The sequence below is a fragment of the Homo sapiens genome, chromosome 15 (assembly GCF_000001405.40).
Source record: "Homo sapiens chromosome 15, GRCh38.p14 Primary Assembly".
Classification (NCBI taxonomy): Eukaryota; Metazoa; Chordata; class Mammalia; order Primates; family Hominidae; genus Homo; species Homo sapiens.
In genome coordinates this window covers 77,160,561-77,178,361 of record NC_000015.10, presented here as the reverse complement: position 1 = coordinate 77,178,361, position 17,801 = coordinate 77,160,561, and the positions used below count along the sequence as shown (strand labels likewise).

At 37.9% G+C, this 17,801-nt stretch overlaps 1 protein-coding gene across 36 annotated transcripts in view; it reads left to right on the top strand.

Moving 5' to 3' along the window:
• PEAK1 (pseudopodium enriched atypical kinase 1) overlaps window positions 1–17,801 on the top strand; it is a 320,261-nt gene that overhangs the window by 242,553 nt on the left and 59,907 nt on the right. For 2 of the 36 annotated variants that reach the window (NM_001385027.1, XM_047433078.1), the window contains one exon: window positions 339–508. The exons of 33 other annotated variants lie outside the window; for them this stretch is intronic. In NM_001385027.1, coding sequence (NP_001371956.1) covers window positions 339–342 — 4 coding nt within the window. In that variant the 3' untranslated portion in view covers window positions 343–508. Of the gene's footprint in view, window positions 1–338; window positions 509–17,084; window positions 17,247–17,801 lie in introns of those variants that run through there. One more of the 36 variants, XM_011522042.3, reaches the window with a different exon arrangement.

Here is a 17,801-nt window from a genome sequence, read left to right as displayed (position 1 = left end):
TGTTATCTCTATATGCATTACTTATTTTAAGGGAATATTTGTTTTTTTATTGCTGTCTCTTTCTGTCCTCCTTCCAAGTGTTGTGGAAAAAAATGGAGGGTGGTAAGCAAGCAATTTATAGTTATTTAGCATGTGGGTGAAATAGGAGAAGTTGAGTATTGAGACTGAGACCCAGTAGTATAATATTCAGTTCAGCTAGACAGATTGCATACCCAAATCAGTTCTCTAGGCATTCATTTTCTTGAATACCTTAATAACTATTTATTGATCACCTATTCTGTGCAAGGTATATAATAAATATTTATCTCAAATCCTTATAAATTTGCTATATTCTTCAGATGAGGAAACTGAAAACCCGGGAAGTTAAGAATTGAACAGAGTCACAAAGCTAGTGCTTTTCAGAGCTGGAATTCAAACCTCGATCTCTCATTCTAAAGCATGTATCCTCCTTATAATTTTGCATTCTTAAACACAAGATCAATAAAAATTGTTATATTCTCACTTGTAATCATTCACATAAATACATATGTTTAGGAAGCCTAAGTTTTTCTTTCTTATTTATATTGTAAACAAAATGAATTAACTGCCAGTAAAAACAAGGAACTTTTATCCCAAGTTTGTGACTAATAGGATGATTTCCCTATGCTTCCTGTCCTTTTTATTCTTAAAGATATGCCCTGAGTACTCCATTCATCTGATTCTGAGTCCTTCTCCCTCCTTACTTAAAGTAAGAAGTAAAGAAAGAAGGGCCTGCCCTTCTTTCTTACAAACATAGCAAATTCTGATGGATGGGGCAGATTTACCCGTTTTTCTTTATAAAAGTATAATAAAAAATGAAGTGAACACTTAATGCTTTTACTTTTCCTAGCAAAATGCTAGGAAGTTTTATACACATTCTTTACTAAAATGAGCTTTTTACATACCTCCAAATTGTTGTCAAAATGCTAACAAGTCTCTGTTTTCCTTAAATCCATGTAGTAACAAAGCAACTAGGATGGTAGTCCTAGAAAGAACAGTCTTGTCATTGGTAGTTGAATGTTATATTCCATGGTAAGGTATTCAATGACAGAATGTACTCCAGTAGTAATAAAATACATGTATTTCAGGGCCGGGTGTGGTGGCTCACACCTGAAATCCCAGCACTTTGGGAGGCCAAGGCGGGCAGATCACCTGAGATCAGGAGTTCGAGACCAGCCTTGCCAACATGGTGAAACCCCATGTCTACTAAAAATACAAAATGAGCTGGGTGTGGTGGCAGGTGCCTGTAATCCTAGCTACTTGGGAGGCTCAGGCAAGAGAATCACTTGAACCGGGAGGTGGAGGTTGCACTGAGCCAAGATCACACCATTGCACTCCAGCCTGGGCAAAAAGAGTGAAACTCCATCTCAAAAAAAAACATGTATTTCAGGTGCCTGATTTATTTAGAAAAGAGGCAGCTTAAACAGCAAATGGTTGGAGTTACATAGGAGGGAATGGTAGACAGTTCTTACATGGTGTCATTCCTGATTAAGTACCACTGTAGTGTATCTATCCACATCTTAGAAGGCATAGTCAAGAAATGTTCGGCTTCTTTCTGTGGAAAGAGACTCTCTCCTTTGGCTGCATGCCACGGTATATAGGCTTGAGGGCAGCCCAGGCCCTGGGCTTGGCAGACCTCTTACTATACAGCTTTTATTTTCACAATTAGGTTATACATAGGCCAGTCAGGTCTTCCAAAATGTATCCGTTTTTTGAAGTTAACATCCATGAATCCAAATAGCACAGTTCATTTGCCCATTGGTTCTTAAATTTAACCATGTTCCAGAATCATCTAGAGAGCTGTTAAGACACAGATTGCTGATCCCCACCCCTGGAGTTTTTTATTCAGTAGGTCTGGGGTGGGTCCTGATAATTTGCACTTCTAATAAGTTCCTGGGTGATACTGATGCTGCTGGTCCTTGGGTCACACTTAGAACTGCTGGTCTCACCACCATTATAAAGATACATGCTATAGTCTGAGTAAAGCAGTGATTGAGATATTAAACTTTTCTTTTTTTTTTGAAAAATGTAAAACTTTATTTGTTAGCATTTTTCTTTTTTTTTTTCTTTTCTTTTTTTTTTCTTCTTATTATTATACTTTAAGTTTTAGGGTACATGTGCACAATGTGCAGGTTAGTTACATATGTATACATGTGCCATGCTGGTGTGCTGCACCCATTAACTCGTCATTTAGCATTAGGTATATCTCCTAATGCTATCCCTCCCCTCTCCCCCCACCCCACAACAGTCCACAGAGTGTGATGTTCCCCTTCCTGTGTCCATGTGTTCTCATTGTTCAATTCCCATCTATGAGTAGAACATGCAGTGTTTGGTTTTTTGTCCTTGCGATAGTTTACTGAGAATGATGATTTCCAATTTCATCCATGTCCCTACAAAGGACATGAACTCATCATTTTTTATGGCTGCATAGTATTCTGTGGTGTATATGTGCCACATTTTCTTAATCCAGTCTATCGTTGTTGGACATTTGGGTTGGTTCCAAGTCTTTGCTATTGTGAATAATGCCGCAATAAACATACGTGTGCATGTGTCTTTATAGCAGCATGATTTATAATCCTTTGGGTATATACCCAGTAATGGGATGGCTGGGTTAAATGGTATTTCTAGTTCTAGATGCCTGAGGAATCACCACACTGACTTCCACAATGGTTGAACTAGTTTACAGTCCCACCAACAGTGTAAAAGTGTTCCTGTTTCTCCACATCCTCTCCAGCACCTGTTGTTTCCTGACTTTTTAATGATCACCATTCTAACTGGTGTGAGATGGTATCTCATTGTGGTTTTGATTTGCATTTCTCTGATGGCCAGTGATGATGAGCATTTTTTCATGTGTCTTTTGGCTGCATAAATGTCTTCTTTTGAGAAGTGTCTGTTCATATCCTTTGCCCACTTTTTGATGGGGTTGTTTGTTTTTTTCTTGTAAATTTGTTTGAGTTCATTGTAGATTCTGGATATTAGCCCTTTGTCAGATGAATAGGTTGTGAAAATTTTCTCCCATTTTGTGGGTTGTCTATTCACTCTGATGGTAGTTTCTTTTGCTGTGCAGAAGCTCTTTAGTTTAATTAGATCCCATTTGTCAATTTTGGCTTTTCTTGCCATTGCTTTTGGTGTTTTAGACATGAAGTCCTTGCCCATGCCTATGTCCTGAATGGTAATGCCTGGGTTTTCTTCTAGGGTTTTTATGGTTTTAGATCTAACGTTTAAGTCTTTAATCCATCTTGAATTGATTTTTGTATAAGGTGTAAGGAAGGGATCCAGTTTCAGCTTTCTACATATGGCTAGCCAGTTTTCCCAGCACCATTTATTAAATAGGGAATCCTTTCCCCATTGCTTGTTTTTCTCAGGTTTGTCAAAGATCAGATAGTTGTAGATATGTGGCGTTATTTCTGAGGGCTCTGTTCTGTTCCATTGATCTATATCTCTGTTTTGGTACCAGTACCATGCTGTTTTGGTTACTGTAGCCTTGTTGTATAGTTTGAAGTCAGGTAGCGTGATGCCTCCAGCTTTGTTCTTTTGGCTTAGGATTGACTTGGCAATGCGGGCTCTTTTTTGGTTTCATATGAACTTTAAAGTAGTTTTTTCCAATTCTGTGAAGAAAGTCATTGGTAGCTTGATGGGGATGGCATTGAATCTGTAAATTACCTTGGGAGATATTAAACTTTTCTTTAAGGCACATTGGAGTTTTCACATTTCATAATGTCCCAGACTAAGTAGAAAAAGAGGTATTCAGTAGCTTTTTTTAACTTTTTGAAAAGTTTAAAGCATGAATATGCACATTGAAAAATATATACCATTTGCTTTTTCAATAATTGCCTCATTTACTTGGATACACCATTGGTATTTACTTGAAGCAACTTTGATAAGGAAAACATTACCATCAAATGTCAACATTTGTGTTTCAGGCTTGATGGCAGTGTGATCATTAAATTACCACCCCACGGCTGGGAGCTCACTGCTGAAAGAAATGAAAATACAGTTTTTCTATAAATAAATGAATATTTCAAGTCTAAACTGTATATAAGGAATGAAGAATGAAAAACGAAAAAATACTGTACTAAAGGCCAGACCCCAGGCTCTGAAAGATGAGGAACTTTATAGAGCCCTTCATTATGGGATTAGATTGTTACTAAGTTCATTTATTTAACTGTTTAGGAAATATAAATTGAGTGTCTTAACTGTGCCATGTATTTGCCATCAGGCCCTGGAACAAATAGGGGGAAACATTATCCTGAAATAACGGGCTTGGGTTGAACTTCAAATATGTGTCTGATCCTTCAGTGTACAAGGCTATAAAGATACCTATCACATAGAAGTAATTTGAAAATTTCATTAGAAAACATATAAAAAGCTTATCCCAGGGTCTGGCAGACATTGACTGCTTAAAAATGTTATTAGGCCCTCTACCCTCAATGGATAAATGCTAAAACAATGTGTTCAGAGTGATTAATTCAGCTTAATGCAGACTTCTCAGGAATAAAATCCAAAGCAGATCTTTAAAGACAAATAGGATTTTGCCAGCTGGCTGGGAAAGACATTGTAGGCCAAAGCAACAATATATGCAAAGTCACAGAGGTGAGGTTGGTGGCAAACAGAAGCAGGACATGTGGCTAGAAAAGGATAATGAATAATCCAGTGGGTGTAAAACATTCAAACTCAGAAGGAAAGAATAGAACGATGATAACCAGAGGCTTTTGGGTGAGGTGGGGTTGATGGGGAAAGGAGAGGTGTTTGCTAAGGGTACAAAGTTCCAGTTAGACAGGAAGAGTAAGTTTTAAAGATCTATTGTACAGCATGGTGACCATAGTTAATAATGACATAGTACATATTTCAAAATTGCTAAAAAAGTAGATTTTAAATGTTCTCACCACAAAAAAAGATAAATAGGTAAGGTGATAGATTTGTTAATAACTTTATTTAATCTTCTACAGCATATACATATATCAAAACATCACATTGTACCCCATAAATATATACAATTATTATTTGTTAATTTAAAATTTTTTAAATTAAATTTTAAAAATAGTCCATTGGTTCTTAAAGTATGGTCCATGTAAGGTCAATTAGTGATCATGCCAACGTTACTATTTTTATAATACAAAGACACTTGTCTTTTTCATTGTGTTGACAGTTGCATTGTTGGTGCATAAACAACAGTGGTTAAAACTACTTGCATCTTAGCATAAATCAAAGCCATGGCACCATATTGTACTAGGAGAGTTTGTTGTTGTTGTTGTTGTTTTTAAGTGAGTTTCACTTAATGTGCTTGGTGGGCCAGACACAGTGGCTCATGCCTGTAATCCCAGCACTTTGGGAGGCTGAGGCAGGAGGATCACCTGAGCTCAGGAGTTCAAGACCAGCCTAGGTAACATAATGAGACCTTGTCTCTACTAAAAATTTTAAAAATTAGCTGGGCATGGTGGTGTGTGCCTGTGATCCCAGGTACTCAGGAGGCTGAGGTGGAAGGATCGTTTGAGCCCAGGAGGTCAAGGCTGCAGTGAACCATAATCACGCCACTGCACTCCAACCTGGGTGACAGGGTGAGACCCTGTAAGAATTCCCTTGGTGATGAAGTAAATTAAATCTCAACCCAGGAGTACCTGTCTTCTTAAAAATTCTGCGTAATTAAATGGGAAGTACACGTAGAATACTTCTGCTGTGTAACAAAGTATGATGGTTTTCTCAAAGAAAAATACTTGTGAAATAGTTTGAGTTGTGAAGCTGAACTAGCCCCCTCTTTCATGAACCACCTTGAAAGAACAACTGACAGACAAACTGTGGTTATTCAAATCTGAGAGTGTTTGGCAGATATTTTCTTAAGAATGAACAAAACAAACCTATTACTTCAAGGAAAACAACTAACTGTATTTGTTGTCAGTGATATAAAATCCAAATTTTTAAGCAGAAATAAGAATTTTTAAAAACTTATATCTGCCACCATGACCTCAACAGCTTCCTAATACTTAAACATTCTTCTGATGAGATTGATGGTTGAATTTGCAAACTTTTAAAAGTATTATATAATGAAATATGTCAACATTTAGAGGATCTGCATTAACTCAGTAAACCAATAATTTCCAAATAACCCAATGCATGATATTATAAAATTATACATGAGTAAAATCCATTCAAACTGCAAGATAGATCAATGGCTTTGAATGTAACTGAGTACAAAAAGTTTATTGATATGGTTTCAGATTTCACATTGCAACTAACCTTTAAGAAACTACCACTTATCAAATTCTGGTATGGTACCAAAGAATATCTACAGTTATCTAAAAAGCTATTAAAATACTCCTCCTTTTTCCGCTTATGAATCTGGGTGAGACCAGATATTTTTCATATACTTTAATCAAAGCAACATATCACAGCAGATTGAATGCAGAAGCAAATAAGGCAATTCAGTTGTCCTCTATTAAGCCAGATATTAAAAAGATTTGAAAAAAATATTATTTAGGTACTATTTACTGGGTTTATTTCCTTAATTTTTAAATTTTTATTTAATACTTAAATTATACATAATGCACTTAATTATGGTGTACGTAGTGATGTTGCAATACATATAATGTAAAGTGAGCAGATCAGGGAAATTAGCATATCCATTATCTCAAACATTTATCATTTCTTCATGTTGGCAACATTCAGTATCCTCCTTCTAGCTATCTGAAACTATATAATAATGTTACTGTTAACTATAGTCATCCTACAGTGCCATAGAACACTAGAACTTATTTCTCCCATCTAGTTGTAATTTTGTGTCCTTTGACAAATATCTGCCTATCCTTTTCTTCCCCCATTTTTCCAGCCTATCGTATTCTCTCTTCTACTTTTTACTCCTATGAGATCTACTTTTTTTTTTAAGCTTCCACATATGAGTGAGAACATGTGGTGTTTAACATTTGTTCCTGGCATTATTTCACCTAGCATAATGTCCTCCAGTTCCATCTATGTTGCCACAAAACAAGTTTTTTTTAAAATAAAATGGATTAATTATTTTCAGATGTTCTCAGTTCCAGTTTCTCATTTAAATGTCAGTTGATATAACCTGTACAAATAGGAGTCCATGTGATTCTCAATTTTTAAGAGTGCAAAGCAATCCTGAGACCAAAAAGTTTGAGAAGTGCTGAGACAGGCTGTAAATGACATGTTGAAATGTTTGGCTTTTATCTTGTAGATTTTGTAGAGGAAACAGTTTTTAAGCGGGAAAGTAGCATGATTTTTTTAATAAAATATTTTCTGGCACTAATATTGAAAATAGGTTAGAAGATGGGACACTAGTGGGTCAAATTTTAGTTCAAGAACGTGTACCCAGGCACCATTTCTATGTGGCAAGTTTGGATTCAGAGAAACTAATTTGGTGGTTAATCTGGTCTGTGACCAGTTAGGAATTTCTCAACTATCATTTTTAAAATGGTACCTACCTACCTACCATTTCTGCAACTCTTTGGTGTCCATCACATGGGGGAATAATACTGCACAGTGGGAAGAATGCCAGCACTGTAGCCAAAGATTTGAATTCTGACTTACCCTGAGTAGTTGTAACTTTTGACTTAGTATCTCTGAGCTAAAGTTTCCCTACCTATACCATAAGAATAATAATACCTACCTTACGGACATATTTTGAGTACTAAATGTATAATATCTGTAAAACGTCAGCATAATATCTAGCAATAGGAGTTGACCTCATTACAAAACTATGCCTAAGGAACCAGAATTTAATATCATCCTTGCTTAATATCTTGCCCCCTGATATCTATTCTGAGAACAGCCACCTACTCTTTCTTAAATGTAAATCTAGTTATATCCCCACACTCCCCACACTGAAGAAGGCCCTACATATGTGGCATCTGCCTACCTTTTAATCCTAACATTTTGGGCTTAATCTTATCCTCTTATTCATGAACCTCTAGTTATTCTGGCTTCCTTTTCTTCTAAGTGCCTTGTTTATAATATTGACTTTGCAATCAGTTCTACTGGATTACCTTTTAATTGGGACTATCTTAAAATTGGTCCTCTCTTTTTTTTTCATTTTATTTTAAACTTTTTATGATTGAAAATTTTAAACATGTACAGAAGTAGATAGACTAGTATAGTAAACCACCGTTTACCACAAAACCACACTTCAACAGTTATCAATTTATAACCAATCTTGTTCTGTCTCTGCCTCTATTCACTTCCCCCCATTATCTTGAAGCAACTTTTTATTTCCATTATAGTCATATATGAAAAAGGGGTTCTTTAAACCCTAGTAGCTAACCCCTGGCTAAACATCATCGGGTATCAAAAATTTTAAAACTATAAATATTCGGATGACCCTATTATCTTCATCCCTGATCTCTTCCCCCAAGAATCATGTGCAATTTTCCACTTGATATCTCCACTTCAAATGAAACATATCCAAAACAGAACTCTTAATTTTTCCCTACAAATCTGTTCCATCACAACTCTTCCCTTCTTGGTAAATGGCCCTCCATTCATTCAGTTGCTCAAGCCAGAAAATTAAGGGTCATCTTTGATTCTTCTGTTTCCTTCACCCCCAACATCCAAAATGTTGGATGATTCAACCTCCAAAATATATCCCAAATTATCTACTTCTCTCTAACCTCTGCTTCTACTACCTTGGTCCAAACTACCATCATCTCTGACCTGTTTACTAATGTATTTCCTGATTGAGCTCTCTGCCTAATCTCTTGCCCCTGGTAACCTAATCGCTTTAGAACAGCCAAGTACCCTCTTCATTTTACTCCTACCTTCTGGGTTCAGTTTCCTTCTTCTTGACAAATACCATTTTTAGTGGTTCTTTCAATAAGCTGTGGTGGTAAACACTTGGTTAGTGACTAAAATCATGGTTATCTTAGTGTTATTTAACCAATAACACTTGGTTATTGATTAAAACTATGGCCAATGGGCCGTAGTTACTTGCATGTTAATTTAGTTTTCAGGCATAAATTCTGTGTCCAAATTATGTTCCTCAATGTAAGAATACCTCCCAACACAAATTGCCCAGTTTAGACACTCAGTCTCACTCTTACGTAAATAATTGTTTTCATACTTGGTTGACAAGACCTATTGCCAACCTGTGCTTAAATTTTCAGTTCAACCAGGCCTAGTAGTGTGCATCTGTAGTTCCAGCTACTTGGAGGCCAAGGCAGGAGGATCACTTGAGCCCAGGAGTTCAAGTTCAGCCTGGGCAACATAGCAAGGCCCCCTTCTCACCATCTCTAAAATATGAACTAAAATTTAATTCAAACAGTTTTTTTCTAATGAGAAAAATCTAATGTAGACATTAAGAAAATAAAAGTAACACTCCAGCTAAAGTTAAGGGTATCATTTGCTGCCTGAATGGCCTTTAGCTAACCTTTCTAAATCTACCACCCCTGAATTTCATGCTGCTAATTAGCAAAGACCCCCGGCATGTACATCTGGGATACGATGTAAGTCGTTTCTTTAGGACTTCCAGAATCATCTCAGGAATCCAACTATGTCTAGCACAGCTGGGATTCTGTCCAAACCCCAACTTCTGGTTTGGACAGGCAGACTGAATTTGACATACCTTTCTTTGCACACTTAGGAATGCTATGCATCTGTATCAACCTTCCTTTACCCTTCCAAGTCCTTTTGGATCTTCTCAAAGACCTTACATAGCTAAACTGTATTCCTCAGTAATCCAGGAGTCAATCCTGAGAGCCCCCTAATCCACTCCAGAGTTCAAGGGTGTAGACCAGGAGTTGGCAAACTATGGCCGATGGGCCAGATCCAACTTGTTTACCTGTTTCTGTAAAATAAGTTATACTGGAAAATAGCCACACTCATCTTTTACATGTTGTCTATGGCTGTTTTCAAGCTACAACAGGGTTGAATAATTGCAGTGGAGACCACACGGCCCACAAAGCCTAAAATACTTACCATGTGGCCTTTTACAGAAGTTCGCTTACCCCTGGTAAGCCATAATATCAGATTTGTCTGTGGTTGTCAGGCATGTTAATGACATACAGCCATTCCAGCCAAATACTGGAAAGGTTTGGTACTCTCTATAGTAACCAATATAGGCCTATTAATATGTGTGTGTGTGTGTGTGTGTGTGTGTGCGCGCGCACATGCATATGTGCATGTACATATGGCATGGAAAATGAAAATCCCAGCACTTCTTAGACTGGTAAAATGTCATGTCCTTCTCTCTGGAAAATTCAGTTAGAAGCTTCAATTGTTTTAATGCTAATGCTCCAGTTATATCTTAATTTGCATTACCTCTCCCTTGAGTTCATGTCCTTTGTAGAGACATGGATGAAGCTGGAAACCATCATTCTGAGCAAACTGTCACAAGGACAGAAAACCAAACACCGCATGTTCTCACTCATAAGTGGGAATTGAACAATGAGAACACTTGGAGACAGGGCGGGGAACCTCACACACCGGGGCCTGTCGTGGGGTGGGGGCATGGGGGAGGGATAGCATTAGGAGAAATACCTAATGTAAATGACGAGTTAATTGATGCAGCAAACCGACATGGCACATGTATACATATGTAACAAATCTGCACGTTGTGCATGTGTACCCTAGAACTTAAAGTATAATGAAAAAGAAAAAAAATTTGCATTACCTCTCCTTTTTACTAAGAGAATCCTATCAAAGTTGTCTTTTCATGCTTAGGACGAAACTGGCCCCAAGATCAAACTTCTACTTCTCATAAAGAGAAAATAATTGAAAACAGAAGCTGAAAATAGCTGCTCTGTCTCCTGATCACATGTTATTTTGCTGTAAAGAAACTTCTGGACTATCAGCACTTATAAAAATCACATCTACATTTGCTGACACATTTTTCCTAAAGTTAAGATGAGTTCATGAAGTCCTTACTGTTAAATTTTTAAATAATCATGTTTTAGAGAAAACTGATAAATATCTTACTTTATCGTAATCATGGAATGATACAGTATGGTTATGTTTATATGTACCAGAATGGGGTAGTCTTCAGACAGCTTTGTTTCTTTTCCTTTTGGGAGGTAATATAATCCCAGAGAAGTAAACTGACTAAGAATAAACCTCAGAAGGTTAGGAATGGTTCCAAATTATTACCCCCTCCCTGCTTTTTCATAGTTCATTATGAATTTCTCATCTGTGACTATTCAAATTATTTTATTTGCCCTTTCCTGCTTATATCACTTCTGAAGAAAATTTTTCTATTCACTTTTCACACCTTGCTGCTTGTATACTTATTCTTGTGTTCTTTCTGGAGGAGGAAGGCAGTGAAAAATAGTTTCTCAGAATGTGTTCCTGGGACCAACTGCATCACCTGGAGTATATAAATGCAGATTCCTGGGCAATGCCCCAAAGCTATTAAATCAATCCCTAGAGATGGGAGCTGAGAACCTGCAATTTTAACAAGCTCCCCAGGTAATTCTTAGGTACATGAAAGTTTGGTAGCCATTGGCATAATATTTTAGAACGTAGACTTTGAAGTCACCGAGACCTGGGTTTGAATCCTGCTTTTGTCACATTAGTGTCATCTTGGATAAGTTACTTGAGCTCTGCTTACCAGTTTTCTCATCTAGAAACTGAGAAGCAAATAATGTAACTGCTTAAAGGACAAACACTTAGAGCTAAGCTACAGGGTTTGAATCTCAGCTCCACCAGTTACTAGCTGTGTTACCTGAAGCAAGTAACTTAATCTCTCTGGGCTATAATTTCTTCATTTATAAAACACAGAAAATAGCCTGCCTAGTAAGTTGTTGTGAGACTTAAAGGGGGATGGGATTCCCCCCCGGGGCACATTTGACAATGTCTGGAGACTTTTTTGGTTGTCACAACTGGGAGGGGGTAATTCCAACATCCAGCCTTTAGCAGGTAGAGGCAAGAAGCGCTGTTATAATCCTGCCATGTGGATAGCCCTCCACAACAAAGAATCACCTGGCCCAAAATGTCAATAGCCCCACTTTTGATAAGCATGGCTTAAAACAGGCACATAATAAGCACTATGTAAATTTTGGCCACTATTATTATTTGCTGTTATGGGAATAATAAGCCTTACTCAGTGTTATTGTTTGAAGATATTTAAGCACAGTGCCTAGCATTCGGTAAATGTAGGGATAGTGGTGGTAGTGATTATTATTAGGAAGCCAAATATCTAGAAACACAGTCATTCTATAGCTAGAGCAGCTTCAATTTAAGGAAAATTTTTTTGGAAATGTAAATTATTAACTTTTTTGGTTTGTTTATTTAGGATTTTCAAAAGTAAAATACATCTGTAATCATTAATACCCTACCTTTCAATAATAGCTGTTTTTTTCTTCTAACTAAAAGTAAAAGCAGTTTTATTTCTTCATCTTCACAATCAAGTATTTATTGCTGGGTTTCTGCAGTATGCCAAGCTTGCCTTATCTTAACAGTGTGGTGGAAGGAACATTTACGTTAGAGTTGCATGGTATCTATTCAGATCCCAACTCTACCACCACCTTACTACCCATGTAATTTTAGGCAATTGATTTAACTTCTTTCAATCTCAGTTTCCTCATCTGTAAAATGAGAATTATTGTAGCTACCTCCTGAAGAGTTTTCATGAATTAAGTGGAAAAATGCACAGCTTGTGCAGTGCTGAGTAGCTGGGTGTTCTGAGTACCTATAGGTCCCATTCCTGCCCTACATCCATTTCCTCGGTCAGCCTGCAGTGTTTTTGGAGTTAAGTGTATGTTATCATTTCTCAGCATCTCCCTACTCTGACTCAAAGAGCAGAGGGAGATAAGAGGAAAGTGAAAAAAGGTGCACTGACTTGCTTCTCCATTGCTTCTGGGCATTAGGGAAAAAAAGTCCGGGGCCCCAGAAAGGCTGTTCCAAGGGTCGGGCGCAGTGGCTCACTCCTGTAGTCCAAGTACTTTGGGTGGCTGAGGCAGGCGGATTACCTGAGGTCAGGAGTTCGAGATCAGCCTGGCCAACATGGCGAAACCCCATCTCTACTAAAAATACAAAATAATTAGCCGGGCATGGTGGCAGGCACCTGTAGTCCCAGCTACTTGGGAGGCTGAGGCAGACGAATCGCTTGAACCCGGGAGGCAGAGGTTGCAGTGAGCTGAGTTCGTGCCACTGCACTCCGGCCTGGGCCACAGAGCACTGTCTCAAAAAAAAAAAAAAAAAGGCCAGGCGTAGTGGCTCACACCTGTAATCCCGACACTTTGGGAGGCCAAGGTAGGTGGATCATCTGAGGTCAGGATATCAAGACCAGCCTGACCAACACAGTGAAACCCCGTCTCTACTAAAAATACAAAATTTAGCCAGGCGTGGTGGGCACCTGTCATCCCAGCTACTCGGGAGACTGAGGTAGGAAAATCTCTTGAACCTGGGAAGCAGAGGTTGCAGTGAGCAGAAATTACGCCATTGCACTCCACCCTGGGCGACAAGAGCGAGACTCCGTCTCAAAAAAAAAAAAAAAGAAAGAAAGCCTGTTCAACATCCTTCCTGGGTTAGTCCCCTTGGAGAAGGCTATGGGTGTTTTCTTCTAATACCTTGCCTTTTCAGGAAATGCATATCAGTATCTCACCCCATTCTTTAGAGTGAATCAAGGCCAAAATTATGATGCTAAGGAGCTACTTCTGTTATTGAGAATGTTATTCTTATTGAGAATGGCAACCATATTTTATTGCTGTTTTCCAAAATTAATTGATCTTTTCTGTTAATTTGCACAGATGCCATTCTGACTTTGTATTTCATAGGATTTTAAAACTGTAATTTTTCTTAGTATTGTGAAAGTGACAGTGATTTACAGAGGGCTATGTTTTTATATGCTTTGTTGTCTTGTAATCTGGTGCCTTAAAGACACTTTTAATTTGCTATTTGAGTCTGTTTTTTAAAAAAAGTGGATCTGTACAATTTCAGAAAATTAGAGTTCATTCAAGACCTTGCACATTGCTGCCAGTCTTCCCCATCTCGAGACCTAGCTACTTCATTCACACCAGTAAGAGCTACCTTTGTTTGACCAGACTATGTTAGAAATATTAGCAGAACTCATCAGATATCAGATAAAGGTTAATCTCAGTTCAGGATAAGAAATTCAACATTTTCAGTTAAAGACTACAGAAGGCTTAGCAGAAAATTGGAGACACTAGATAGTGATCAGTAGACACACACTTCTCTATCTGAGAATGTCAATGATTGGAAAGTGTGGCAAAATCAAGTTGATGACCTGGAAACTAAAGATTAAGAAATGTCACATTCGTAGGAGGTCCTAAAGGTAGAGAGACAAAAAGAAATGGGAGTGTTTTGTTTTGTTTTGTTTTTTCTCCCTTTCAGTAGATTACAAAGGTGTGAGATTTGATAACTTTGAACTCTCCTTTTCATGTGTTAATGTAGATCCCACATCTGCAGAGTTCCGTTATCCCCAGCAACCCCAGAAATACGCAGCTCTGGAAACCAGTAACAAAACGATGACGTTTTGTTTCTAATGTGCTTTAGTCTGATTTTTCGGGGTAAAAGGAGGTTTTAAAAGTCACACATTTGCTTATTGGCTGTCGTGGGCAACTAGAGACATGTGTACCTGCTGAACAGAGCTAACAAATGGAATTCAGAATAACATTTGTCCCAAGAGGCAGGTAGTCTCTAGAAGTCAGATTTTACTTATTGTCTCATCTGAAGCTGAGTGAAGGTGGTTGAATTTGAAGATAGGATTGAACTGAAATTGTGGAAATACTTGGATATTTAAAGGCCTTATCCTGTTCTAATGTGGAATTTGATTTGCCTTTTTAAAAAGTACACTCAGACATTTAACATAATTTTTACAAAAATCTGTCTTGAACGAATATCCCAGAGAAACAAAAAAAGGATTATTTCATTAGATGGTGTAATGATTAATCTCTACCACCTGGGTAAACCAAGTGAGCTTCCCACAGGAGATTGCTTCTGCAGCTTTGAATTATGTATGAATATGGCAGACTGATGAGATACAACCTTCCAAGGGATTTGTTTATATAACAGACAAATCTGTAACAATGTAACTATTTCCTTTGAACACCTTATATTCATTCTGCATGTTCAGAAAATGATTTGTCTTTGTGGAGATTATGACATGGTTTTTTAAGTATTAGGTCAGACATACCAAATCTCAATTAAAAACTGGTCATTAATGGAAAGTTGGTTGAAGAATTTATAGTCACACATATGTTGTCTTCTGTGTTGTCTGTCTGTGAAAGCAGAAGGAACGCTGAAGGTTCAGGACAAAAAGTAGGCCAAGTCAGAGTTTGACCCAACCTGAAGATCAAGGACCTAGATATCAACACCATAGTTATTACGGAAGTAGGAGTGTTTCAACATGAATTAAAATAGCAGAAATGTAAAAACCATAACTTCCTCTTAGTGGGCCATTTGTCACTTAACAATTTTGTTTTATAGTAATCAATATCAAATTGTACTTAGGCTGAAAAAAAATTAGATACACTGGTCATTATTTGCCATTTTAAGACGTGCTAACATATAGTATATAAGAAATTCTCACAGATTTCTTGTAATTTTCACTCTAAATAATTTTTTTACCATCTGTCTCATGGATGAAATGGGGGAAATTTTTATTTTTTCCACTAACTCTTTCTTGATGCCATCAAGTTTGTTCAGAAAATCAAAGCATTCAGAAAATCAAAGCAATAGAGAAACAGTACCCAGGTTCGAATTCCCATTTTATTGTTTTCTCCATCACATTAAACATCTCCTAATGAAATGTTGGTGGTAAAACATTTGTTAGGAGATAAAGCTGATATTTGTAAAGTATCACTTTAGTATTTGAGTTTTCTGATTTTATGTCCAAATATGGAACAAATCAATGGTAAATCCTTTTTTTTTTTTTTTTTTTTTTTTTGAGATGGAGTCTTTCTCTGTCACCAGGCTGGAGTGTTAGTGGCACAATCTTGGCTCACTGCAACCTCTGCCTCCCAGGTTCAAGCGATTCTTCTGCCTCGGCCTCCCCGATACCTGGGACTACAGGCACCCGCCACCACGCCCACCTAATTTTTGTATTTTTAGTAGAGATAGGGTTTCACCATGTTAGCCAGGCTGATCTCGAACCCCTGACCTCAGGTGATCCACCTGCATCGGCCTCCCAAAGTGCTGGTATTACAGGCTTGAGCCACCGCACCCAGCCTTAAATTCCCTTACTAAATTAATGTGCCTAATGATAAATTAATCAGAGATTTTCCTTTTTTTCTTTCTTCCTGAATGATTTGTCTGTTTATGTTGTTTATATTTAGTGACTGAATCAACCTTCTCTGCTACTTTTCTCAATTTTTTTTATTTTTTAGTCATAGTATATTGTTATATCTAACCTTAAACTCTGAGAACCTCTCCCTTTTCCCCTGTCTCTCTTTTATCTTTTTTTTTTTTTTTTTTTGAGACAGAGTCTCACTCTGTCACCCAGGCTGGAGTGCAGTGGCATGATCTCTGCTCACTGCAACCTCTGCCCCCTGAGTTCAAGCAATTGTCCTGCCTCAGCCTCCCGAGTAGCTGGGATTATAGGCACCTGCCACCACACCCGGCTAATTTTTGTATTTTTAGTAGAGACGGGGTTTCACCATCTTGGCCAGGCTGGTGTTGAACTCCTGACCTTGTGATCCACTTGGCCTCCCAAAGTGCTGGGATTACAGGCATGAGCCACTGCGCCTGGCCTCTTTTATCATTTTAATCATACAAAGAGCTATTCTTCCTTTAAGCATTAAGACATGACATATCACTGATGCATTTTTTAAATTCTTACTCCTTTTAGAGACTGCTGTCACTGTAAATGCAGATTAAACCTTTTAGCATCCATTTGCAAATCCATGTGATTTTACTTTTATCAACTCTATTTGCGTAGTTCTTTAGAGTTGACAATTACTTTAATTGATGATTTAATATACCAGTGCACTTATTTAAAATGTGCTCATAAAAACCAATCTTTATCTGGAATATAGGCTGTGCTGCCTTAGTTTGCAAAGGGTTAATAAAACTAGCTTTCACTTTGCTTGGTTCCCCAAAGGTAATTTGGCACATTTCCCAGACCAAACCAGTAAGGTAAGGGTCAAGGTGCAGTGAGTGATATTAAGGAACAGAATCAAGCCTTTTCTCATGGTTTGCCTAACTTGTAGCTCTCCAGAACTCAGTGGAATCTATGGTTTATCTGAGTGTCAGAGCATGATTAACAGACTCGAGAAGGCCCTGTGAAATTTTCCTTTAATGGGGAATTGTGTTAGTGAGCACAGCGGGTGAGTTTTCTAATATTTCTTGCTTTTAAGTATTCATGTTTTATTTTGTGAAGCTCTTCAGAGTACAGAGCTGTGTTATATGTACACATGTGCAGCGGGCCCAGGGAGTTCCTCATAGGTTAATAGCTGCAGTTTTTTCTGTGGTTTTCACTATAACTGAGCTTTGTTGTTAATAGCCCATTGCCTAGGATGAAAACAGGCAAGTGAGGATGGAATCGTGGCTTCTGAACCCTTCACCAACCCTTTTTGACAAATGGGAAGGAACACTTTCTTTTAGTAATAACCAGGAGATGGAGAAAGAAAGAAGGCAGGAGTAAGTCTGAAGAGATTAGGAGCCAAGAAACAGCTATTCAGGAAACCTCTAAAGCTGACTTTAGAGCAGGAAATGTCTGGAGCTTTAACATTTTTTTTTCTTTCAAGTGTGGGGGCTGATTTTGTTTTGAGACAGAGTCTCACTCTGTTGCTAGGCTGGAGCGCAGTGGCACGATCTCGGCTCACTGCAACCTCTACCTCCCAGGTTCAAGAGATTCTCCTGCCTCAGCCTCCCCAGTAGCT